At 38.4% G+C, this 26,201-nt stretch overlaps 1 long non-coding RNA gene and 1 other non-coding gene across 2 annotated transcripts; both read left to right on the top strand.

The window, feature by feature from the left end:
* The first annotated feature begins 541 nt into the window (after nt 1-541).
* Nucleotides 542-21,610, top strand: LINC01706 (long intergenic non-protein coding RNA 1706). Its single transcript, NR_110610.1, has 3 exons — nt 542-785; nt 13,730-13,914; nt 20,389-21,610. It is a non-coding gene; the product is annotated as a long intergenic non-protein coding RNA 1706 (long non-coding RNA).
* A 3,106-nt stretch (nt 21,611-24,716) lies between these two features.
* MIR8062 (microRNA 8062) lies at nt 24,717-24,801 on the top strand. The gene has a single exon (NR_107029.1). It is a non-coding gene; the product is annotated as a microRNA 8062 (primary transcript).
* The last annotated feature ends 1,400 nt before the right edge of the window (nt 24,802-26,201 follow it).

The raw sequence follows: 26,201 nt of genomic DNA on the forward strand, positions 1-26,201 counted from the left end.
GTGCTGGCCAGGTGGAGAGACTCACAGAATCAGATACACACACACACACACACACACACACACACACACACACACGTGTGTATATAGACTGTATGCACTGTGTATACATATACTTCTTCAAAATATATTCCTATTATAAACTAGGGAATACAATTTGAGGAAATGTAAAAATGAACATGTACTTTTTTTGGTTTGTGTATTTGATTGAGCCAAGCCTGGGACAGATGACCTCTGAACTGGAGTAATATGGTGTAAACAATCCCCTTGCCTTTCTGGTATGCCCCTTTCTCTTTCTCTAGACCTTCTTCTCAGAGCTCTGACTTAGCTTCTGATGTAGCTGGCAGAATTTCTTCTCTCTCATTCCCACCAAAGTATATATCTGTTGAATTGTTGAACTGGATTATGTCAGAAGCATTAATTGGAAATCATCACTCTGTAGAGAACAACAAAAACACAAAATCTCATGACCAAGGAAGAGCAAAAGAACTTGTCGGGATTTCTCGACCTCACCTCTCAGAATGTTGACAATGAACTACAACCAAAACACAACCATGGCAACAAATTAGATATTTGTTGAATCAGGCCAAGACACAGAAATATACTGCATGCCAAAATGTAAAGGTGACATGAGTGATCAAAAGAGAGGGAAAGTGAAAGGTCAAGGGAGAAACTCTCAGCATGTAGGTACAGAACCATTTCCATGAGGTCAGCTACATTCCAAAGTGGCTGCGGCACTGGATGGGAGCTGTTGGGACATGCTGCACAGCCCAAGACAGTCTTTGAAGGTTTGTACCCACCCTCGTTTCCTGGAGATTTATGAGGCCAGTTCAGACTCTGTCTTGCCAGTGCTACATCAAAAACATGCATCTACACTCTTCTTAAATGAAACATACATCTATACTCTTCTTAAATGAAATAATAGACATCACAATAAGAAGGGCTGGGTGTATAGGTCAGGCAGATTTCACTCCTCTTTATGGATAGATTATTTTGGTAATTATAAACCGAATGGGCAGAATTAATTCATGTTTATTGAGCATTGAATTCTGGAGCCTGAAATCACAATATTGTATTTATTCTATGTGAGTTTCTTTTTTCCTTCTTTCCTCTCTTCTTTTCTCCCTCATCCTTTCTTTTCTTTTTCATTCAACAAATGTTTACTTGTCCTTACTCTACCAGGCACTGCTCTAGGGGCTGAGAAGGCATCAGTGATCAAGATAGATACAGCCCCTGACACTGTAGAATGTATCAAGACTAAAAGAAAAGATTGTGTGAAGGGTTTCTTTGAAAGTCCTATGTGTTCATTTCTGTAGGAATGATCCAGGGGCTTATAAATAAAAATAGAGACAAGTTAAAATATTTCATGATTTTAAATATGTGCCAAATATTTTAATGGTACACTCTGGCTGTGTATAGAAACTAAGAAACTAAGAGAACTGGAGGAGGTAAGGCATATGATGGGAAGAAGTTGCTGCACCAGGAAGCATAGAATAGTTCAGATCAGTGGTCAACTTCTAGAAGGTTCTGTGGTATGTAAGAGGCGATGCCTCTGCCCAGAGACAGAGCAAGTGCCTGGGGAATGTAGCTGATGAAATCATCAGAAGACCTGGCTTATGACAAAAGGGTGCATGGGAAGTTCAAGAGACTGAAGAAATTGTCAGAGTGGCAAAGCAGCAGAGAGGGGCATACATGTGTGAAATTAGGCTGTAAAAATTGGAAGTGACCAATCATGCAGGTCATCATAAGAGTTTTGGTCTTTATCCCATGTGAAATGAAGACTTAGATATGTTTTAAGTATGCCAGTTTGTGTATGTCTCTATGTGTGTTTGTAAGAGAGGAAAAAAAAGGAGGGCAATTTTTGGAAATTTCAAGTGTACTGTGGTGGCAGTGAGGTTACTGTAAGGCAGTAAACTTAAAAAAAAATGACATTAGCCTGCAATAAGTTAATGGCCTTAAAGTGAGAGAGAATAGTCAGCTTTGAGTAATGTGAAAAGATAAAATCCACAGGGCATGCAGCTGGCTGTATTTGATAGAAGGTTATAAAGGATAACTCCTAGATTTTTGGGTTTTGTAGCATATAGATGATAGTGTCATTCCCTGCAATAGAAAACACTGAGGGTAGAGTCAATTTGTTGGAGAGGAGGACAATTAACTTTATTTTGAAACTACTAAATATGAGGTGCTTTAGTGATATCCAAACGGTGATATCAAAGAGGCAGATGAATGGATGGGTTTGGGGCTCACAGGCAGTCTGTGATAGAGACACTAATTCATGAGTCGTCTGTAGTGAGGTGACAATTGAAGCCATTGGCCCAGATGGGATCTTTTTGCTTAACTGTAGAGTATAAGAAGAGGGCGTAGGAACAAACCTTGCGAAATAACATTTCTTGGCCAACTAATGAGATTAAATTTGAAGTGAAGATAAAATAGAAGTAAACGAAGATGTAGGGGGAAAACCAAAACAGTCTTGTGACATGGAAACAAAGAGAAAAGAGCATTTTAAGCATCAGCAAGTAGTCTATAGTGCGAAGTAATTCTTACAGGTAAAATAAAATGAGAATTGAAAAACGTTTAATCTAGGGGTCACTGGCAACCCAAGGTAACTCTTTTACATAGAAGGAAGGGGCTAAGGGCCAGGTAGAAATCAGTTGAGGGGAAAATATATCATGTTAAAAAGGAAAGGCTGAACACACATGAAATAGAAAGGATCATGGTAAGAAGAAATTGGACCTAAAGCGTAGGTTCCATGGACAGCAAAAGTTAGCTCTCTACTGACATTTGAGAGACAAAGGAGAGGGTAATGTGGATGGATGCTGAAAAGTTTGCCAAATTCACAGAAGTGAGTTGAGGGAGTTAGCATTATATGGCCTCCATTATCTCTCTAAAGCATTTGGCTATTTTTTGAGGGTGAAAATATTAAATTGCATTGGGAATTAGAGCAGAAGTAAAACAGAGAAATCAGGCAGGAGTTTTGTATTAGCTGCCTATTGCTACAGCAGTGCTGCATAACAAACCAACCCAAAGTGAGTGACTCAAAACACTAGGCTTTTCTTTAATTTGTGTTTCTGTGAATTAGCTTCATAATGCTTCTGGAGTTGTCTGAGATTTATCACATATTTTGAGGCTGGTTGGCTGTCACTGAAATAGGCTGGCTTCATTGGGTTACCTGAGATAAATGACTCCTTTCATCTCTAGCAGGCCAGTCCAAGAAGTTGTCATGGTCAAGGCAGAGATGCAATAGCAGAAGTGGGAAGGTGCAAGCATATTTTCAAGCATATGTATGCATTATATTTACTAATATTCTAATTCTATTGGCCAAACCAAATCACATACCCATATTCAGGATCAAAGAATGGGGAAGGAGATTCTTCTCTGCAGTGGGAGAAACAACAAAGTCACGTGGCAAGGGGACATGAATACAGCGAAGGACACGGAATTGAGACCCTTAATGCAATCAATCTACAAGTCACCAATAGTATTAAGAGCACATTCGCAATAATTTAACTTCATTGGATAGTGGAATCCAACAGCTCTATTGTGTGGATTTCTCCAGCAACATTTGATTGCTTAAGTAGAACACCAAAAAGATGTTTTAAACTATATGTGGGAATTGCTAGAATGTATGAAGAAAGTGCAGAAAGACAGATAAGCAAGACCATGTTAGATATAAGTAAGGCTGTTATTGATGTAAAGCCATTTTAAAGTATCCACTGGCTAATGAGTCAAGTGAAGTTGTGGGAGAATGGAAAAAGCGGGGCTTGTGAAGCCAAAAGTTACTCATAGTGAAAATAGTTTAAAACATAATATTGAAAAAGAGGGGGTTGAAGTCAGGAAGAGGGTGCTTGAAGTTTTCAGATAGAACAATTTTATGAGATAACAAGGTCTAAGAAGTGGCAGTTTTGAGTAGGGAGCTGAGGTAAAGCTAGTAAAAGGGGAAGGCAAAGGAAATGCAGTCAGGGAAGAGGAGAGTGTTGAGTCATTTTGGTAATAAATGAAACGATGAAAAATCTAAGTCTAGTGCTGGATGTGCGAGAGGCAGTAACCAGGAGTTCAGCAGATAAGTGTGGGGAAAGGGAAATATAATATAACCAAACAACACAGGATGCAAGAGCTGCATTTTATGGTCTGATTGATATAGCTGTTGTTATTGGGGAGAAGGGTTAATGAACTAGATGCAGCGAAGGGAAGCAAAGATGCCATCAAGATTTTCTCTCAACCTTGAAACATATGGGCTATTATACAAACAAACAACCAACAAACTCTGGGTTGTAAGAAAGGCAAGATGGAGGAAGCTACAACTTTTCTTTGTTGAGAATACATACAGTTTTGGAATGAGTAGCGATGCCATGTTGTATAAAGTTGCCTAGCCAAACTGAGTACAGATGTTCCAGAATAGGACAGAGAATGACAAAGTTGGGAAAGGAAATGTGTTAAGGAACAAAATGGTAGGAGAAGGCAACAGAGCAACATTCACCCTTCCTCTCTGTCATCTCAGTGGTTCACTGGCAAGAGGCCAATGACTCCTGACAGTAACTCCATCTCTGTCCTGTTCACTTTCCCCACATTTATCTGCTAAACTCCTAGTTACTCCTCCTCACACATCAAGCATTATGATACTGAGCTTATATTTTTCATCTTTTAATTTACTACATCTTTTCTCTCCTGGGAAGGACAGAAACCATTCTCACACTTGGTGAACTCAGAGTCCTTGAAGGAAAATAATAAAAAATTGTGGAGAGAATGAGAGGTTGCACATGGAGATTACACAGGGATAACATTGTTATTTACTTTCTTTTTCATATGAGAGAAAAAAAGAGAAAACATATAAGAAAAAACATGAAACTAAATATGGCATATATTTATCCTTTTAAATATAACATGAGTGTTAGGAATTATAACTTATTACATTAATGTGTCTAGAATATAATTGAAGGAACTAATTGAAGTAAAAATTAAACAGTATGTGATATTGCACAAAACTTGAATTCACGTCCCAGTTTTGTCTGGCTCATGATCATGTCTGTCCTGGTAGGGGCATTGTAAATGCTTAATTCATACATTTGGGAAAAAATGAATAAATTGTTGTATCTTGGAAAAGTATACCAAAAAAAAGTATTTATGATGCTGAGTTTTTCTCTTCCTATTCTCCTGATTAATTTCTATCCATTCTCAGTATTAAACAACCTAGGAGATATGGACTTGGTATACAGTAGATGCTAGGAAATGATCTTTGGAATCTAAATTTGCTTATGTGAAGTTGGAGGTGTCAATAAAACCTATTTAGTTATTATTCAAAGTTCTTTTGCTGTCTTCTACTCATACTTGCCCATTAACTCAAGCCTTGCATGTTAGCAAACATTAATGATTTTTCTTGTAGGGCTGACCTATCATATTTACACACCCACACTCTCTGAGGTAATCTTGAGCCAGGCTCCTTCTGATTATATTTCGCTTTTTCATGCTGTTGTCCCAGAAGACGTTGACGTCATCCAGAGACACAGTAGCGCCGTCCGTCTTCAGAGGTTCAATTCATTCTACCATCCAGAAATTCTGCCGACAAGGCGGCCAGTGTTAGAAATTAAGCTTGTGACACGCAGGACATGGTGGAGTGCAAACATTGGTCAGTGCTTCCTCTCTCAGCCACAGAGGAAAGCCACACTGATTGGTATTCAGGAAGGGGACCTCCTGTTTCGAAGGATTCCTTCATGCTGTTCAGCAATGCTGTTTAGGGTGGATTTTCCCATTTGAACGGCAAAGCTTAAACACAAATATTAACTACCTGAAGCTGCAAATAGCAGCATAGTACATTAAAAAAATAATGAATATGTTAACCAGCCTCTACCCAACCAAGAAAAATATTACGCAGAGACAAGGCTGATTTTAGAAAAATGCCCAAGGAAACATTAATAAAAAAGTTGAGTTTCCTTTCAAAGTTTGTTTTTGCTAAACATTCATAGTTTTGCCTTTTCCAATCCAATTTTATTATAAGAAAGATCTCCCACATGTGTACCTGGCATTCCTTTTAAAATAATCAGTAATACGCACACACAAAAAATGGAAATAGTGGGTGAGTTCTTAAGTGTGACAGAAAGAAACGGCAAGATATGTTACAAAGAAGAGAGACACTTCTTTGAATGCACATAAGTTTGTAGCCTCTTTAGTTATAAGCAGAATTTCATGTCCTTATTATTTTGACTATTTACATTTTGATATTGTTCATTTGGAAAATCCAAGCCTATCTGATTCTTAACTGCAAGGTTTCTTCCCATGAAATCACTGAAGGTGCAACATTGCTTGTAGTCAGTAGAAGACTGAAATTTTATGGCTATAATTCCAGGTTAGGGCAACAGATGGACATTCTATCACCTGTTGGATAGCTTCTTTGGTATTTATTTCTGTCCTTGGTGAAGATTAAAACTAAATTATTGGGCTTGAAGAGGCAGTTCACACCTGTAATCCCAGCATTTTGGGAGGCCATGGCTGGAAGATCATTTGAGCCCAGGAGTTGGAGACCAGCCTGGGCAACATAGAAGATCCCTATTTCTCTAAAAAAAAGTCTAGGTATGGTGGCACATGCCTGCAGACCCAACTACTCAGGAGGCTGAGGTGGGAGGATCACTTGAGCCCAGAAGTCAAGGCTGCAATCAACCATGATCATGCCACTGCACTTCAGTCTGCATGACAGGGTGAGACCCTCTCTCTCTCTAAAGAAAAGAGAAAACCTAAATGATTAAAACATTCTGTTCAATAATTCTCATTCTCAACTGGTAAAATAGGAATTTTACACTAAACTTAGCGAATAACAAAATGCTTTTGGTGCACTTTCTTTGTTCAGGGCTCTTTTTCTCAACACTTATGTCATTACTTCCTCATAACAAGCCTGTAAAGTTGGTATTAATATTAATCCATTTTCCAGATGAGGAAACTGAGGCACACAGAGATGAAAAACTGTCCAGGTGGTTGAGCCAGAATTGAAATGTTGGCTGTCTTCATCTGGAGCCCACACTTTCTACCTTCCTGTTGTGTTGTAAGTTAAACTCAGGTTGAAATTGGCTAACTTCGCTTTGCCTGGTTTCCTGTTAATCCACTGTCATTTAATGTTGGTTTTTGTTGATTTGTTTTGTTGTTTTTGTTTAGTTTTGTCTAATTTGTGGCTTATAAATCTTTTCTGTAATAATGACAGTAAAACATGGGGCAGGGCACCTGGGTTCTAGTCACAGCCTAGCTACTAACTTCAAACAAGTTTGGATGTTGCATAAACTCAGTTTCCTTTCTATAAAGCAGATAAAATGAGAGAGCATAACTTTCTGTCTCATAAGGTTTTATCCTCCAAATCTACTGTGCTAACAAATTAAAAATGTTATCATAGATGCTTTTTCACTAAGCCAAAGGGATGCACCAAGCTGAAGTTTATGGAATTCAGTTTGACAACTTGTATATTAAACTTCTAAATTATTTTTCTGAAGAGGATGTTGAAACTAATGGAGAAAGGAAGGTTTAAGCTTGTTGATGAATTTTTATTCATCCATTTACTCCACTTCAAGAGTTAGTCAAGAATGAGTTGTGACATGTATTTGAAACAATTAAGAACAATGACTGACCACCTAGGTTTCTGTAATATCGAAAATGTGGGAATATCTACAAGGACAAATGGATGGTGAAGTAAATTTTGGATGCCAAGTGATACCTTGTGTCACTCTTCCAGGACTGCTGAAACTATTTCTAGGAAACCACACACAGGCACATGCCACAGTTGAAAGGGTCATCATAATATTTGTGCGTTCTTAGCATAAATTAATTTTGAAGACTATTTTAAGACAATTTGTTATTTTCAAACATTTATTTGGAAATCTATTTATTCTCACCCACATAGGAATATTTATCGACATCCCTAAGCTTCCATTTTAGTTACTTCCTTGTATAGTATTCTTCTGACTTGAATCTTGGATCAAATTCCTCAGTTTTTACATTGTTTAAAATAAGTTATCCTGCCATCCTTCTCTCCCAAGCTAGTGGTATCCTATAATCTATGAAAATGCACTGAAAATGAAGGAAAACCTTCAGTTAAACATTCTACCTTATTTTCTGAAAGGGATAATTCCTCCCTTTTATCTTTTAGCACAGTCTTTTGAAAGGATGTGGTCTTCATGGCTGGAAAGCCAGGATAGTTTTTGTGTGGTTTTTGATAAATTGAGGCCCATCAATTTGAATCACTAGACACTGTGCTTGTGGTTTTAGCACTTTCTTTTCTCTGGGACATCCTGCCCCCTACCATCCTTAATAACTCAGCTTTTCTGTTACCTCGTTTGATGACTGGTGGAGATGGTGGAGCAGCAGGAACCACCATAGTACATTCAATGAATTATTTAGTGAATCATCCTATAAATATTTAGTGAGCACCTTCTCTACGCAGGAATGGTTTTAAGTACTAAGGCTGTTACAGTCAAATGCCAACTCTGTACTCCTGCTCACACAGTGGTGACATTCTAGGAATATTGAAGAGAGAAACCAAAAATCAATTATCTATATTAATATTTGTCTAAATGAATACATATACCAATGAATAAGCTAATATTAAATTATGATATAAAATAGAAGTAATAAGATGTAATAGAGGTGTATGGGCTAAGAGAGGGATATGTTGGTGTAGTCAGGCTTCTGAGAGATGGCTTTTGAAGGGATACCATAGTTAGGAGAACAGCAAGCCACCTGAAGAACATTTTAGACAGAGGGAACAGCACACACAAATGCTGTGAGATGACAGCTACTGAGAATGTTGAGTAATAAAAAGAAGATAAAGTGAGAAAGATGGAAATTATACAGGATGAGGTCTGAGAGGTAGAAGAGGACCATTTCATATATGCCTTTATAGATCATGGAAAGGGCTATGTATTTTGTTCTAAGTACGATGGTGTAAAACAATGATTCTCAAAGTTTTGTGTGGATTAGAATTACATGAGTGACTTGCTAAGACCTAAGTTATTGGGTCCATCACTGGAGTTTCTGACTGAGTGCTTCTAGGGTAGAGCAAGAATTTTCATTTCCAACAGATGATGCTGACACTCCTGGTATAGGAAAAACAGTTTGAGAACCATTGCTGTAGTCAATAGCTGTTATGTGTACCTACTCAGAATAGATTTCACCAAAATCGTACAAGTGAATCTTGATTTTCTTATGCAAAATGTCTCTTCTGTATTCTTAGCCCCAGCAATGTATTTTATTACCTTGGACACAATGAGTTATTCAATGATGGACATAAGACTTTTGTCAGTCAATTGAAATCCAATCCAGGAAAACTCTAGAAACTGTTGGAAAATGAAAGTTCTTAAGCTACCAGACAAGAAGCTCACAGTCAATACATAGGGAAATTCTCTCCAAAAGCTAAGTCAATGCAGATGAGCGCTGAGCTGAAAGATGACAAGAGACTGAGCTCTGGTACCTTCCGTTTATACCCCTGGAGGTAGTCATGCCTAGGTCAATTATACTTCTCTGATTTCTATTTCCATCACTAATCTTCCCGTCTTATGGTTTAGGAAATTTCTCTTTGGGTTCTGAAACAACTCAAAATATAAATACAAATAAAAAGCTATAGTAGATATACCACTTTTACAAACTTAGATGCACCTTGCTTCATCACCAAGAACCAGATAAGTGAGTTTACATTGCTAAATACTACTCTGTACATTTATAAAATAAATAGGCTTCATATAGGCAAACAAGATATTTCAAAATAGAAAATCTCAAGCAAATAGGAGAATGAACTAGTTAGCCAAATTAACACAGGCATTTGAAAATGTGCTAAATAGCACTTGGTGACACTATATTATTGCTAGCAGCATTGTTACCCTGACTATTATCTATAATATGACCCCTAAATAAAATTTGTAATTGTATTCTTCTGTCCTTTTATGTGGAAACCTCACATCCTCTACAAGTTGGTGCATGTTTTCCATTATAATTATACAAAGCAGTTTCTCATCATTTAGCTTCTGTCTAAATGTGATCTGTTCAAATAGCCTTTCTTGACTGTTCTATTTCAACTGTCATCTCCCTCCTCAAGATGAAGTCTATCAAGCCATCATATTTCGTTACTTTCTGAGAAAACATTTTCTCAGATTATTTTGTTTGGTTATTTTTTATCTCTTAGAATATAAACTATATGAAAGCAGTGGTGTATTCTCTTATCATTAACATTCTGTCACCCAATTGATATTTTTAGAATAGAAAAATGAATAAATTGTACACTTTTGCCTTTCCTTAAATACATTTTAAAAATTTGAGTGTTTCTTTTCTATATTTGTATCTATACCTTTGGAACAATTTTAGGTCAAATTTCATTTTAGTCACAAATCTTCTCTGGCTACCATCACCCAAAGCAAGTTCACTTGCTTCTGAGCATAAGAACTAACCTGATAATATGAAAATTATCTTGTCCCTACTTGTGTTGAGCTTTTCTGTGTGCAAACTTCTCTTCCTTATCAGACCTTCCTGAAGCAATGCCAGTATTTTTTATTTGTATTTCCACTTTATCAATATTGCTTTGCATAGAGCACAGACATACAAATATTTGTTGACTGCATGAATAGATGGATGCATATTTAAGGGCCAAAATGCCCATAGTCATTTAAAACTCTTGTATTCTCCAAATAGATATTTTCTTATTATATATAGTCTTAAAGACTGTGAACTATGCTGTAAGTGAAAAATCTTAATTTCTGATATTATATTGACTATTCATAGAAACTGTACAATATTTATAGAAATAATCAAAGCAGATATTCATAGAACTCATGAAATAAACAGGTGAATAAGTAAAAATTAAAGTATTTAGTAAGATGATGAGTGGGAAAATATGGGGACTGCCTGTAATTTTTTATTTCTGCATCAGCTTTATGATTCCAACATGCTGCCACTGACCCGTTGGCCATAAGTGACTCAAAGTGTTTTCCTGCATGAGTGCAGGATTTGTGCCAGCCTCTCCATGCCTCCTCCCTTGTCCAACCTCATGACCCCTTCAGCATGGACTTCTAGGACAAGGTGTGGACTTTGGCAGACCTAAAATGTTTCGGAAAGGAAGCTGGTGCTTTGGGGGCAGTGGTAAGTCTGTTTTTAGACATGTTATTTCTGAAGTAGCAGCAGGGTACTGAGCATGACATCTATATATATGGAGTTGTATGTAGTTAGAAATATGGCATTGCAGATATGAGAGAAAGATAACATCGTTGGTCTTAGAATTTGAGAGTCATAAGCATATAGTCTTAAAGAAAATGTGGATGAATGCAAAACACAAGTTAGTGGTGATCTCTGGGGAGAGACAACGGCTGATGGTGTTACATGTGGGGAGGATAATTGAGGGATAATCTTCAAAGTCATTGGTAATCTTCCGTAATCTGGTTGATATGTTTTATTATTTTTTCAAAAATCACATATATATGTTATATATGAATGCTATATATCTCACAATAAAAAGATTTACAAGTATGGCTGCCTTTCAAAATAAAAATGTGCAATGGCAAAAAGCAAATATTTAATGCTTCAAATATCTTAGTTAATTTCCTAAAATGTGATTACTTGAAGCACTTAGTTGGAATAACTCAAGTGCGTACAACAATTTGCCTCAGCTTCTAGCTATTTCAGGGACACTCTTGGATGTAAATGAACTCATGATATTTTTATCAATTCTGTTTACTCTTGTGTGAACAACCATGACTATTTTCTCCTCACACTGAAGGCTCCTCCTCTGTAAAAGATGATTTCCAAACATCTACAACAAAAAGAATGGAGAAATTTGTCCCCAAATTGAATCCTACATTAATGAATGCATGACATATGTACCAGTTACTTGTTGACATAATGATGTTTCATTACAAACCACCCTGACATTTATTGCCTTAAACATATCATGTATTTGCAGGTTGTCTGGGAGACTCTTAAAGTCTTGAGTGGGCCCTTCCTGCACCTGCAGTCTGCTGCAGATGAGCTAGGGGGCTCTGCTGATCTTAGCTAGGGTCTCCTATGTCTGGGATACTCTGTCAGCTTGTCTAGGACCTCCGCTGGAAAACTTGGACAATTCTTCTCTGCCTTACTTGTCCCATCCACTGAGCATTTTCTCATGCCAAAGTTAGAAGAGTAAATTAGAAAAAAGACACATTCAAGGACTTTTCAGGAGTTTCCAGACTCTGTTGACACCATATTTGTTCATAATTGGGCAAAACAAGAATCAGGGGATAGAACAAAATGCTGTCCAGAGTGGGAGGGCGCTGCACATTATGGGGCAAAGAGAGAGGAGGAGAGTGGGGCCATTGATGCAGCTCATCTACCACCACATGTTCTTCCTCCCCTCCTGGCCCTTGCTCATTCTCTTTCTATGATTTCCTGCCTATTAGGATTCTACATGCTAGCCTTCCCTTGAGGCTCAGGTCAGGTGTCCATGACTGTATATGCAGTTATTCCAGCCTTCTCTCCCGTCCAAAACGTTAAGGCACTCACTGTTTGCTTCCATCATTTTAACTTTTTTATCTCCATTGTCGGGTGTTGTTTCATAACTGACTGTCTCATCAGAAAATGAGTTATTAATAAAGAATATTTGTTTTGTAACCCTGAAAAATCTGGTAGAAACAGGGTAGAAAATAGACCCTGATCAATAGTTTTGATTATTTGTCCATTGATTTACTTTTATAAATCTGTTCAGTCATAAATACACATGGCCCTTTTCTAGAGTCCTGGTATGTTAACATTGATTCTTTTGGCAACTGGGTATAACCCATCAATTTCTTCCTTCTTTTTATTTCTTATTTTCATGTTTCTTCCTATTTCCTTCCGTCCTTCTTTTCTTTTTGAAAAGCTTTTCTTTAGATTAAAAGAATTTGACTTGTTCAGAAAAAAAGGTCTAAAAACCCTTTTCATCACAGTTAATTAGATTTCTGACTTGTTCTCTATAGCCAATATTTCTTCAGCACATTACTTGAGCACACCCCTAAAAACAGGTGTCAAAACACATTAAAGGCATGGCTTCCTAAAACATCAAAGGAAACTGTGTTCTCTATTTTCATAAATGCCACCACAAAGCTAAAAGCCTGTCTAAGTTAGTCACGTGAGCCATTTTACTGGTCAAGATATGGGTAATTTGAGTGCTGCCCTCGGTATTGATCTCATCTCATTTATACGTGTTTAAAATTCTACATTAATCCAAATTCTACTTTCTGAATAATTTATGCAGAGGCCAAAGAAATGTCAGTTTGCAAATAATTGGAGGACCTTTACAGAGATTCCAGGTAAAAGTACAGAGCTGAAAAGTAGAAAGCAACAGTGCAAATCTTGTCATGTGGACTGTTCAAGGGCACGATAGTTATCAAATCCAACCTTTCAATTTCACAGTCTAGGGTTTAATGAGAGCCCCCAGGGCTTAGGTTTCCCATCAGGGAAGTGACCTTGGCCCCAGCCATCAGCAACAAGGATTTGAAAAACACTAAATCCATAACCCACATTAGATTGATCCCATGTAAACTGGGTGGTAAAATGGGAAATTTGAGATGCAATATTTGAACCTTAGATCAATTGGGCAAGAAACATAATAAGGCATTATTATTCTCATTCCACAGTTGAACTTCTTCAAATTCAACTGTATAATAAAGAAGTTGAATGCCTTGCTCAAGTTCACACAACCAGCAAGTACAAGAGTATCTGGTTTATCTGGCTCTAGAATCACTTTCCTTTGCTTTCTCAACAGATGGCTGGATGCATGACCTTGTCATATACGTAAAACATCCACAGACTAACTGGAAAAGGACTTCACCTCAGCCAAAGTGAGTGCATTGCAGAATAAGTGCAGAGAGCTTACCTTGGTTTTTAAAGATATTGCAATCCGTTTTAATTGGGGATCTCATTGCAATGTGCTCCTATGTCTTGAGACAGGTAAGCAAAACAAAACGAAGGTGATTAGCATGGGGAAAGATGGGGCATATTTGAAGCAAACCCACTTTTTAAAGAATTTCCTCATTCCTCACTCTTTATTCTTTCACTTAAAACCTACTGTGACATTTAACTCTGTTTTTCATGGCAATGTATCTTTTTCTCCTTTTCATTTTTTTTATTTCTCCTTTATCTCGAATAAATTGCTCCATGAAATTTTTCTCTCTTCACTTCCTAAGACACCCTAGACATTCCCTCACATGAAATCAACCAGGTTGGTCTGTCTGCTCATGCCTCCGCTGTTCTCATAAAGAAAGAGAAGAAAGGGGCTCAATGCCTGGAGTGTGTGAAAATGGGGTAAGGTGAGGGCAGAGTGTGGCAGGTATTGTGCTGAGGCCATGAATGCATAATCACTACTGTCACAGCAAATAGATTCTGTCATGAGGAATTCCATGGTTTTCCAGAGGAAATCAGCTTTCCCTGCAGGCTGCCAAGCCCAAATGAGCTCCTTACAGCACCTGCAGATCTGAGCATCAAGCAATTATTCCACTATCTTGCCTAAAAACAAAGACTTTGCTACCCTTTGACAACCTCTGACCTTTTTCAGCTAACATAAACTAATTATATTTGCAGCAGGAGGGGAGGAAGGCCTTCGTAGTCCTCCGTGGGAGTTGTCTTTCATGCTTTGTGCCACGTTGTCAGTTCTGGCAATCCAAAAAATGACCACCCTTCAATCAAGGGAGTTGCTGGACAAAGCACTTAAAGAGATACAGGGAGGCCCTTATCACAAGTAAATTTCACTGTCTAGGCTTGGTCAGAGTAGCCCACACTGTCCAGTTAGCAATAGTACAAGAGAGCCATTGTTAAGTGTCACTTAGCAGCAATTACAGCCTGGTCAAAACAGTTTTTGTGTGTGTGTGTGTTGTTTTGTTTTTAGACAACCTGTTAATGGGCCCACAATTAGGTGTAAGGAATAACCCGGGCTGCAGGCACTGAAGCAAGGTCAGAGGTTAATTGAGACTTTCTATCCTAAAAATCTGAGTTTTTGCAACTTTTTGCTGAGAGAATAGTCTTAAACAAAAAGGAGATAATATGATACAATTAGTTGGAAAGCAGGAGGGTCAAAATTCCCAGATGAGAAAGGAAAACTGGCCAAGGAAATCAGGCCAGAGGGACCACCTGGGCCACTTCAGATGCCAAGAATATCTGTGGCCATTCATCTGGTGGATGAGGCACAAAGCGGTGTGCCCTCCATTCATCACATCCCTCCTGTCTACCAAAGAAAATACAAGGTCAATGCCATAAACAGGAGGCATCTCAGGGTAATTGAAATTCCAGAAACGGCCTCATTAGAATAGCTTACAGGCAATCATGTTTTTCTTTTCCTATTGAAGGTATATTCATGTCTTGAAATTGCATGGAAGGCCTTCTTTGTGGTGGCAGGGTTTGCAGAGGGACTTTCTGATAGTTTTTGAAGGATTGTGTCTAAATAAACGGCTTCCTTCATAGCTGAGAGGAAGAACCCAACAGAACCTCCTGGGCTTGCTGACTATGGCGTGGCACATGTAACGTCCACACCTGCTCCCTTGCTCTTAACTGTCAAAGGGCCCCTCTTTCTCCATTCCTTCTAGGTCATAATCAACGTATTGTGTCTTAAGCAGCTGTTCTTTATCTGGTATCCTGAAACTACTATTGGAGGTTTCTTGGCTTTAATCTTTCTTACAGTTTTTCTTTTTCTTTTAACCCTTTCCCTTATTCACACCCGCTAATGCAAACTTTGACACTTCCAGCTGGCAGATCCCTCTGATTGGAAGTGGACTAAAATTTGCTAAATCATTTTGTTTCTTTCCTTTTTTGTTCCAGTACAGCTGGTGCCAAAATGTGATGATTTGTTTTGCTCCAGTCACTGAAGTTTTTGTTTTCTTTTATTTCAACCCCATACTGGCTTCCCAGCTTGATGCTGAGTCATCTGGTGCAGGTGTTCTAAGTGGCTGGCATTTATGTCACTTGCAGATGGTTTGGGTAAATTACACGATGTTCCTGCAGCTCTGTGGAGGCTCTCTCAGGTCCCTTTGATCCTGGCCTTCCTGCGGGTCTTGCACATATGCAGAACTTCAGGGCACTAGGTGAACTTTTAGATGGATTCTACTCAAAGCTGGTTGGGTTGCTATGGGCCTCACAGTCTGATGGGCTTCAACTGTGGGTAAGAGAGGTTAACTAAAAGAAAGAACCCTGAAATCACAATGTACTGCAGCTTCACCTACATAGGGAATTACATACCCAATGTGCAGTAGAACGTAAGTTAATTCTACGGCTTCTTAAGTAAATTGGAACAAAGGGACCACATTTTGCTTCTGAAGAAGGAGAAAGGTATGTAGGAAAGTAAGAGCTGGAGTAGGGAAATTGTTAAGTATTAAACATATGTATTTAGTGTTTTCTCTTCATTACGTTTGTCTGACCCCAAACTGTCTCTAGCCCCTGTTCTAATGCTCAGTGCAAAGACTGGCTCATAGGCAAGAATCTCAAAATCTCATCTACTTATACTGTACACATACAGCTTCTATTAGAAACTTACAAATCCTTGCTACCTTCTATCTAAGAAGGCTGCTTTTATCATGAAACAATACACACCACTTGGGAACACTCAACATCTTCTCTTCCTGTAAAGATATACAACTTAGTGAGAGAAATTTCTGTCTGGTCATAGCCAAAGGCAAGACATATCAACTTCAATTTTCAGAATAAAGTTTTTGGGAAAGCTGTGTCTTCCTAGGACTGCAGAAGTCCTACCATTGTAGGTGATATGGTTTGACTGTGTCTCCACCCAAATATCATCTTGTATTTCCACATGTTGTGAGAGCGACCCAGTGAGAGGTAGTTGAATCATGAGGACTGGTCTTTCTCATGCTGTTCTCATGATAGTGAATAAGTCTCATGTGATTTGATGGTTTTTAAAAAGGGGAGTTTCCCTGCACAAGCTCTTCTCTTGTCTGCCACCATGTGAGACATGACTTTCACCTTCTGCCATGATTGTGAGGCCTCCCCAGCCATGTGGAACTCTAAGTCCAGTAAACCTCTTTCTTTCATAAATTGCCCTGTCTTGGGTATGTCTTTATTAGCAGCATGAAAATGGACTAATACAGTAAGTTTGCACCAGCAGAGTAGGGCACTACTGTAGATACCCAAAAATATAGAAGCGACTTTGGAACTGGGTAACAGGCAGAGGTGGGAAGAGTCTGGAGGGCTCAGTAGAAGACAGGAAAATGTGAGAAAGTTTGGAACTTTCTAGACACTTGTTTAATGGCTTTGCCCAAAAGGCTAATAGTTACATGGACAATGAAATCCAGGCTAAGATGGTCTCAGATGGAGATGAAGAACTTGTTGGGAACCAGAGCAAAGGTGACTCTTGCTATGTTTCAGCAAAGAGACTGGGGGCATTTTGCTCTGCCCTAGAGATTTGTGGAACATTGAACTTGAGAGAGATGATTTAGGGTATCTGATGGAAGAAATTTCTAAGCAGGAAACCATTCAAGATGTGACTTGGGTGCTGTTAAAGGCATTCAGTTTTAAAAGGGAAACAGATCATAAAAGTTAAAAAATTTGCACCCTGGCAATACAATGGAAAAGAAAATACCATTTTCTGGGGAGAAATTCAAGCAGGCTGCAGAAATTTGCATAAGTAACAAGGAGCCGAATGTTAATCACCAAGACAATGGGGAAAATGTCTCCAGGGCATGTCAGAGACATTTGCAGCAACCCCTCCCATCGCAGGCCTGGAGGAAAAAATGGTTTCATGGGCTGGGCCCAAGGTCCCTTTGCTGGGTGCAGTCTAGGGACTTGGTGCCCTATGTCGCAGCCGCTCCAGCCATGACTAAAAGAGGCCAAGGTACAGCTTGGCCTGTTGCTTCAGAGGGTGGAAGCCCCAAGCATTGGCAACTTCCATGTGGCATTGAGCCTGCAGGTGCACAGAAGTCAAGAATTGAGATTTGGGAACCTCCACCTAGATTTCAGAAGATGTATGGAAATGCCTGGATGCCCACACAGAAGTTTGCTGCAGGGGCGGGGCCTCCATGGAGAACCTCTGCTAGGGAAGTGCAGAAGAAAAACGTGGGTTTGGAACCCTCACGCAGAGTCCCTACTGGGGCACTGCCTAGTGGAGCTGTGAGAGGAGGGCCACTGTCCTCTAGACCTCAGAATGGTAGATCCAGTGAGAGCTTGCACTGTGCACCTGGAAAAGCCACAGACAGTCAATGCCAGCCAGTGAAAGCAGCCAGGAGGGAGACTGTACCCTGCAAAGCCACAGGGGCACAGCTCAAGACCATGGGAACCCACCTCTTACATCAGCATGACCTGGATGCGAGACATGGAGTCAATGGAGACCATTTTGGAGCTTTAACACTTGACTGCCCCACTGGATTTCAGACTTGCATGAGGCCTGTAGCCCCTTTGTTTTGGCCAATTTCTCCCTTTGGAATGGCTGTGTTTGCCCAATGCCTGTACCCCCATTGTATCTAGGAAGTAACCACTTCCTTTTGATTTTATAGGCTCATAGGCAGAAAGAACTTGCCTTGTCTCAAATGAGACTTTGGACTCTGGACTTTTGAGTTAATCCTGAAATTAGTTAAGATTTTGGGGGACTGTTGGAAAGACATGATTGGATTTGAAATGTGAGGACATGAGATTTGGGACAGTCCTGGGGCAGAATGATACGGTTTGGCTGTGTCCCCACCCAAATATCATCTTAAATTTACATGTGTTGTAGGAGGGACCCAGTGGGAGGTAATTGAATCATGGGGTGGCAGGGTCTTTCTCATGCTGTTCTTGTGATAGTGAATAAATCTCACAAGATCTGATGGTTTTAAAAAGGAGAGTTTCCCTGCACAGCTCTTCTCTTGTCTGCTGCCATGTGAGACATGACTTTCACCTTCTGCAAAGTTTGTGAGGTCTTTCTGGCCACATGGAACTGTAAGTCCAATAAACCTCTTTCTTTTGTAAATTGCCCAGTCTCAGGTAAGTCTTTATCAACAGCATGAAAATGGACTAATACAGTAAGCTACTGCATGGGTTTTCACAGAGTGATCAACCATCCAAGGAGTTTCTTAGGATTGACTCTGCTAAGATCAAAACAGTCCTGGCAAACTGTGGCCAACCTAATGTGTGTATTGAATTACCTGCAGAACTTGTGAAAAACATAGACACCTGAGTCCCACCCCTACAGGGTCTGGGGGAGCCCTGAGAATTTGTATTTTTAACAACCTTCAATGTGGTAGTGAAACTGCCAGAGCAGGGCTATTCGTGGAGTTGGAAGGAGCAGCTCTGTAGAACTTGTGAAGGGGAGCAGATGAAAGTGAAGAGCACAGATCTGGAGCAGTGCATATGATACAGAAAGGCATACTATTTTAAGTGACTCACCCCCAATGTATCAGGAACTTATTGCCACCATAAACAACAACCAGAAAAATCTCAGTGACATGAAACAGTGAACATATTCTCATGTTCACAGAACAGCAAGTAGAATATGGCTCAGCTGGTATGGGCTCAGCTGGGTGGTTGTATTTCAGTCTGTAAGTTGGCTGCAGGTCTCTCCCATATGTCTTAGTGTGGTCAACTGACACATGTTTTACTTCTGTTGAGAGTCATAAGTGGAAACATGTGACACTTCAGAAAGCTTAGACTCAGAACTGGCACAATATCGCTTTTCATTGGCTATCACCAGTCAAGCCCCAAAACAATGGAGTGAGCAGTGTGCTCTTCCAATGAAAGTAAGGAGAGAGTAAATATTTCCTAAGTAATAATCTAATCTACTATAGTGATCTCAGAGTTTTAGAGTACTCAATCTAATTGGGTATATAATTGGATATATGTCAGTGACTGGTATACAATTGCTGTATGTCTAATAACCTACAACAAACTTTCAGATTCCTTTACCATCCAGGTAGGAATAAATACCAGGAAGCTGAAATATTTACTAATTGCTGAAGTACATATTTGTCTCAAGCCATTTTCCCACCTTGGTTGCCCAATAACTTGGAATATACAAAATTCAATGTTTTTCCAATTTATAAATGTTTGGTTAGGCATAAGAGTACTGTATTTTATTTTTATTTTAACTGATTTTTTTTTATTTTGCATTTTGTTTTCTTTATTCTTTTCTTTAAAGTCCTCAACCAGCTTTTTTTTAGTTAAATAAACCTGAAAATTTAGTGGATTTTCCCTGTGTAATTATTACAAATATTTCCTGTGACAGTGATATATCATGTAAGAGACTTATAGATAAAACACAAATAACTACTGAAACAAGTAAATTTTTAAAAAATCATTTTGAATCTATAACACAAATATACTACTTTCTAACAAAAGACTACACTAGACCATCTTGTTCTTTAAACATGTATGTTGTTCCTGATTCTTGGAAAAAAATATTTATTAGAATCTATCAATATACAAAACTTAAAAGGTATTTATTATCCTTGGCAGGGCCTTCAAGAGGATCAATATTTCCAGGATGTTGGTATTAGCATCCATTGTTCGCTGGCTAGATCTTTTCCAACAGAGCATGTGACTCTCATCATTACAGCAGAGGAATGCATTTATCAAAGTTAAGGAAGTCGTTTGCCATTCGGATGGCCCAAGAAGCATAAATATTTATCATTGAGCCTTGTGAGAACTCTCTATTATAAAAAGATTGGCTAATTTCTTAAAACTACTCCTTCAATAAGGACCCAGGTTATGTGCCATGGTATCTGTAGCTTTCTGGCTGGGTCAGGGTGACCCGCACACAACCCTGGCAGGACGCCCTTGGACACAGTATTTGCATCCCTTTGGTGTGCCAAGGTATCAAGCATTCACAGTTCACATTGAAACCACTAAACGAAGAGCTGTGCAAACAGGTCATCAGTTTCTCCAGAGGGGAATAATCTTACAACTGTTACGAAGGGTCAAAGGTAACTTTCATTTTGAGATGCTAATTACTCCAAGAATTTGATGCAGGAGGCAGCTGGTTAAAATGAATGAGTGCTGAAGCGTTGAAGGGGAAAATCAAATAGATGGTTATAATAAAAGTGCAATATGCAACCTAATAAGTATGCAGAGAATAAGGGACAATATTGTTAATAAACATCTATTAGTCAAGATGATCTTTGTAGAGCTGGGCTCTTTAATATTATAACTGCTAATCACATGCAATTAAATTTAAATTTAAGGTGGTTGAGATTAGAAATTCAGGTCCTCAGCCACAGAGGCCACATACAACATGTTCAATAGCCACATGTGGCCATTGGCTACCATATTGGAGAGCCCAGATATAGAACAGTTTCATTACTGCAGAAATTTCTATAGGACAGCAATGACCTGGAGTGTTTTGCTATTGGAGGGGTTTTGGACTTAGTGCTTTTATATAGGAAACATGATTTTTTTAAAGAAGCCATCCCATGGAATGCTTCTCTCATTCCAGTGCTGTAGTAAGGGTTGCCCTGAAATTTGGACCTAGAAAATTCACTTATCATAAACGAAAAAACTGTTACTACTATCAATAATATTTTTGTCCTGGTGAATATTTACATTGTACCACACACTGTGCTAGTTGCTTTATACATATTGTGTCATTTAATTCTTACCTTAGAGACTAAGATCTATCTGTGAATTACTTTGAGATAAATCAGGTTAAGAGAAAAATAAAAACTGACTTTAGACCACAATTAAGTAAATATATTTAAACCTAAAGCAATTATTGCTCTTTGAGAGAGAGAGAGAGAGAGTGTGTGTGTGTGTGTGTGTGTGTGTGTGTGTATGTGTATAACTGGCAGCCCATTGTTACTGAGATAACTACACAGAATTAAGCAATAAACTCTGCCAGAGCCTGGGATATAAGGACAGGAATAAAGACGATTATCAGAGACACGGGAAAGAAAGAGAAAGTGAGAGGTATTTGAAGATTCACTAAAGAGGCTGAGATTTAGTAGAAATAGTTGAGAAGCCTCAGAAATTTGGTTGTAAGATCCAGGCAAGCATGGAGAAAGGCTGCACTTTAGAGATTTGTGGGTTCCCAGGCTAACTCCAGAAAAGAGGATTAGGGCAGCAAGACTGATGCTGAAACCACCAAATGGTCATATTAACATCCGAGTTTCCTTCCAAGATCCAGTGCATAGATGAAAGGATTTAAGAACATGAGGTTGGATGTGGATTGCTCCTTTCAAAGACTTGGACAAAAGAAAAGTCACAGCCTCTTAATTTCTCTCAGTGAACCTCAGCCTAGCCATTAAATTTCAGAGGAAGCAGATGGCACACATTCAATGTTCTGGGATATGACTGTACACAGTCAGACTAAGAAAAGGTCACAAAGATGTAAAAAAAATAAGTGTTTTACATCAAGATGGTTGGTAATGAAAATACCCTATCCTACTCAGTTTATAGTAAATCGCTTCTATATAGAGTAATTTATTAAAATCTCAGAACATTAAGAATTACCAAGTCTTGATTTATTGCAGAAAATTTTGCCATGGTGTTTCCATTTAGAAACTTATTTCTTATCTTACACAAAGTAAAAAAACAATCTCTTTAGCACCTGGTATTATTAGTGAGGTATAACTGGGGTGACAATATAATTTATTATCCAAATAGAGACACTTTTGAGAATGAATGTAATTGTTTATAATTACAGCAAAACCACAGGTGTAAACTAGAACTGTCCAAGGCAAATCAGGGCAAACCAACAACCTAGGTATAGACCACAGCTGGATGCAATTGGACTCAAGCCATTTTCCCAGTCCAGCTGCTGAGTGTGACTCAAAGGCTACTCTGCTGTCAGCTGATTTACAAGCTGATTGAAATAATGATGCAAAGGCACAATGATGAAGATGTCCAACACCCATTTTAGGTAAAAATAACTAGTGTAAAGAAAAATACCATTGATCATTGTTGTTGAGTTTTTATTTTTAAAGAAACAGTGACTTGATAAAATACATCCAAGAAAAAAGAGTCTGATAACCAATCTCTACTCAGCATAGGAGGGCATTTCTCTTCAATTTTTAAAATAATAAATTAAAATAAATACTATCTTTAAGGTACTAAAGATAGCAAGGTTAGATATACTAGTTCAGCTAATCTACATTCCCACCAACAGTATAAAAGTGTTCCTGTTTCTCCACAGCCTTACCAACATCTGTTGTTTCTTAACTTTTTAATAATTGCCATTCTGACTGGCGTGAGATGATATGTCATTATAGTTTTGATTTGCATTTCTCTAATTATCAGTGATGTTGAGCTTTTTTTCATATGTTTATGGGCCACAGAAATGTCTTCTTTTGAGCAGTGTCTGTTCATGTTTTTTTGTCCACTTTTTAATCGGTTTTCTTGTAAATTTGTTTGAATTCCTGTAGATTCTGAATATTAGACTTTGTCAGATGAATAGATAGCAAAGATTTTCTCACATTTCCCCTTACTGGGTATAAACCCAAAGGAATATAAATCTTTCCATTATAAAGACACATGCACACATATGTTCATTGCAGCACTATTCACAATAGCAAACACATAAAATCAACCCAAATGCTCATCAGTGATAGACTGGATAAAGAAAATATGGTACATTTACTCCATGGAATACAATGCAGCCATAAAAAGGAATGAGATCCTGTGTTTTGCAAGGACATGGGCAGAGCTGAAGCCATTATCCTTAGCAAACTAATGCAGAAACAGAAAACCAAACACAGCATGTCCTCACTGATAAGTGGGAGATGAACAATGTGAGCACATAGACACAGGGAGGTGAACAACACACACTGGGGCCTTTTGGGGGTGTGGAGGGAGGGAGTGCATCAGAAGAAAAAGCTAATGAATGCTGGGCTTAATACCTAGGTGATGGGTTGATAGGTGCAGCAAATCACTATGGAACATGTTTACCTATGTAACAAACTTGCACATCCTTCACATGTACACCGGAACTTAAAAAAAAAGAAGATATACTAGTTAAGGTGTATCCTTAGGCATTAGAAGAACTTGGAGATTGAGGTGCACTACTGGTATTCAGTGAGTAGGACCTAGAGTTGTAGATGTTCTACAATGTGCGGAATAGTCTCACACAATGAAGAATGAACCTGGTCTTATGTGACATTCATGTGGGTGAAAAACATATTTATATATTAAGCCTAAAACTTAAATTCATTTTACATATAAATACAAAGTATCTCTTTTACACTGTATTAATAGCAACTACCAGACACATTGAGAAAATATATTCTTTATTTTGTTTGGCAATTTCTCAATAATTTTTTGCTATTTCAGAAAATCACATCACAGAAGGCAACCCTAGTCATTATTTTTAGTAGCTACACAACATATCTACATCTGTAACTGACATTTAAGGTGATCCTATGAATGAGTATAAGCATGACAACTTAATTATATCTTCCAATGTAGTTATGTCCAAACATTGACATGTTGAAATACTTATTTTATCATAAATTATTTTCCTCTTAATTTCATTTGCAATTTATTTTTACAATATAATTAGACCATTATATTGACTTAAAGATAAGTATGTGGGTAGTTTATATTATCTATGGATTTCATTTTAGAGTAGTAAAGGCTGTGTTATAAAATATCTTATATAATTAGTGGCCTGATAGGGCTGTGGAGCAGGGCTCCAAGGCAGTGCTATTTCAATGAGGTCTCAGAATTGGCAGCAGAGAGCTTGTTAAAAATGCAGATTCTTGGACTCCACCCCAGACCAACAGAATCACACTCTCTCATGCAGCATCCCAGTGATATGTGATTTATCAAGCCTTCCAGGTGATTCTTCTGCTGCTCTTATGCATGCAGTGATTTGAGGATTATTGCTCACGGTAAGAAAAACATGAGTAATATATTGTCTTCAAAGAACCTATGCTCTAACAGGAGATGTAAAGATATCTTTCTACTTGAGTTGGATGAGTAAGAAAATCACAGGGATCATGATCACCAAAAACACAATAGAAATTTGGCAATAACCTAATTCCAGAGACTATACACTAAACATGACATATCAATAGCAAAAAGCTGGATTCAGAGACAAGTTTAAACCACACAACTCTGATTAAAATGAACAGGACTCATGCTGTTAAGACTCTGTACAGTTCTAAAAACATACACAGCAGAGCACTTAAGCCGTTCCAGAACACATCATTCTCTACTTTTTAACAGGGAGCAAACAGCTGGGATGTGTTACTAGTAAGCCATGTTTTCATAGGCTTTCTGGTTTTCTTTAGCCAAACTCTTACAACAGTCTTCGGACAAATTATTGCCTGAAGCTATAGGAAGTCTTTAGTTGTCTTGGAGAACTGCAGAGTAAGTCAGGTCTCAAAGACAACATGCCCACAAGGACTTGCCTTGCCACCTTTGGCCTTTCCACCTTGGAAATGCCTTCACAACCAATTACACTATTCTCAAATGTCTGTTTATTTTTAATGACTCTAGTTAAATGTTAAGAGTTATTCCGATGACCTAGTTCAAGACTCTAAGAAAAAAAGCTTAGACAAATCAATAGACTAAACTGGGAGGCTTGCAAAGAAATGAACAAGAATCTAATCAATATCTTAACAAAAGACCAACAAATGGTTGAATTCTTGTAGGCCTGCATGGTTCTGAGGCCGACCTTGCTTTTCAAAAGACATTAAAGAGTTCAATATGGAAGCAGTGTTGTGAGAAATCACTTTCTCTTTCTAGATACTCTCATGTCCACTTTTGCTCTGGGAAATGTGTGTGTGTGTGTGTGTGCGTGTGTCTTGTTTTTCTAAATTGTCAGTACAGTGAAATAGTTGTCATGGGTTCACCAAAACAATTTTCAGAGATTTTCTTTCTGAATTTTGTTGGGAAAAGTCCTGAAACATTCCCTCCACTTCCACACACAAAAAGGCAGCCTCCCTAAGGTTCTTCCTTAGGTTCCCCCGGCACCTACATGGGTATCGGCAAACATTATTGAATCTCAACAAGCACATTTATTTCAGATTCTACACATGAAGGGTTTTCAAAATACTCTTCCGTACCCATGGTTCATAAGCCCATGGTCCAGAACATCTAGTGTCTATTTTTATAGCCCACAGGCAATTGCTACAGCTGTATAACCCTATTGAGAATGAGAAAGGGAGAATGTCACTAATTCTTTTGATATCTTAGGATGCAAATGTCTATGTGCTAATGTCATCTGCATAAAAGTATATACTCCCCACTTCACTTTGGCTGAAGGCAACTACACATTAATGGTTACATCCCCTTTTGTACTAAGAGCTACTCAAGGAAACATTTAGCAACAGGTG

The sequence above is a fragment of the Homo sapiens genome, chromosome 20 (assembly GCF_000001405.40).
Source record: "Homo sapiens chromosome 20, GRCh38.p14 Primary Assembly".
Lineage (NCBI taxonomy): Eukaryota > Metazoa > Chordata > Mammalia > Primates > Hominidae > Homo > Homo sapiens.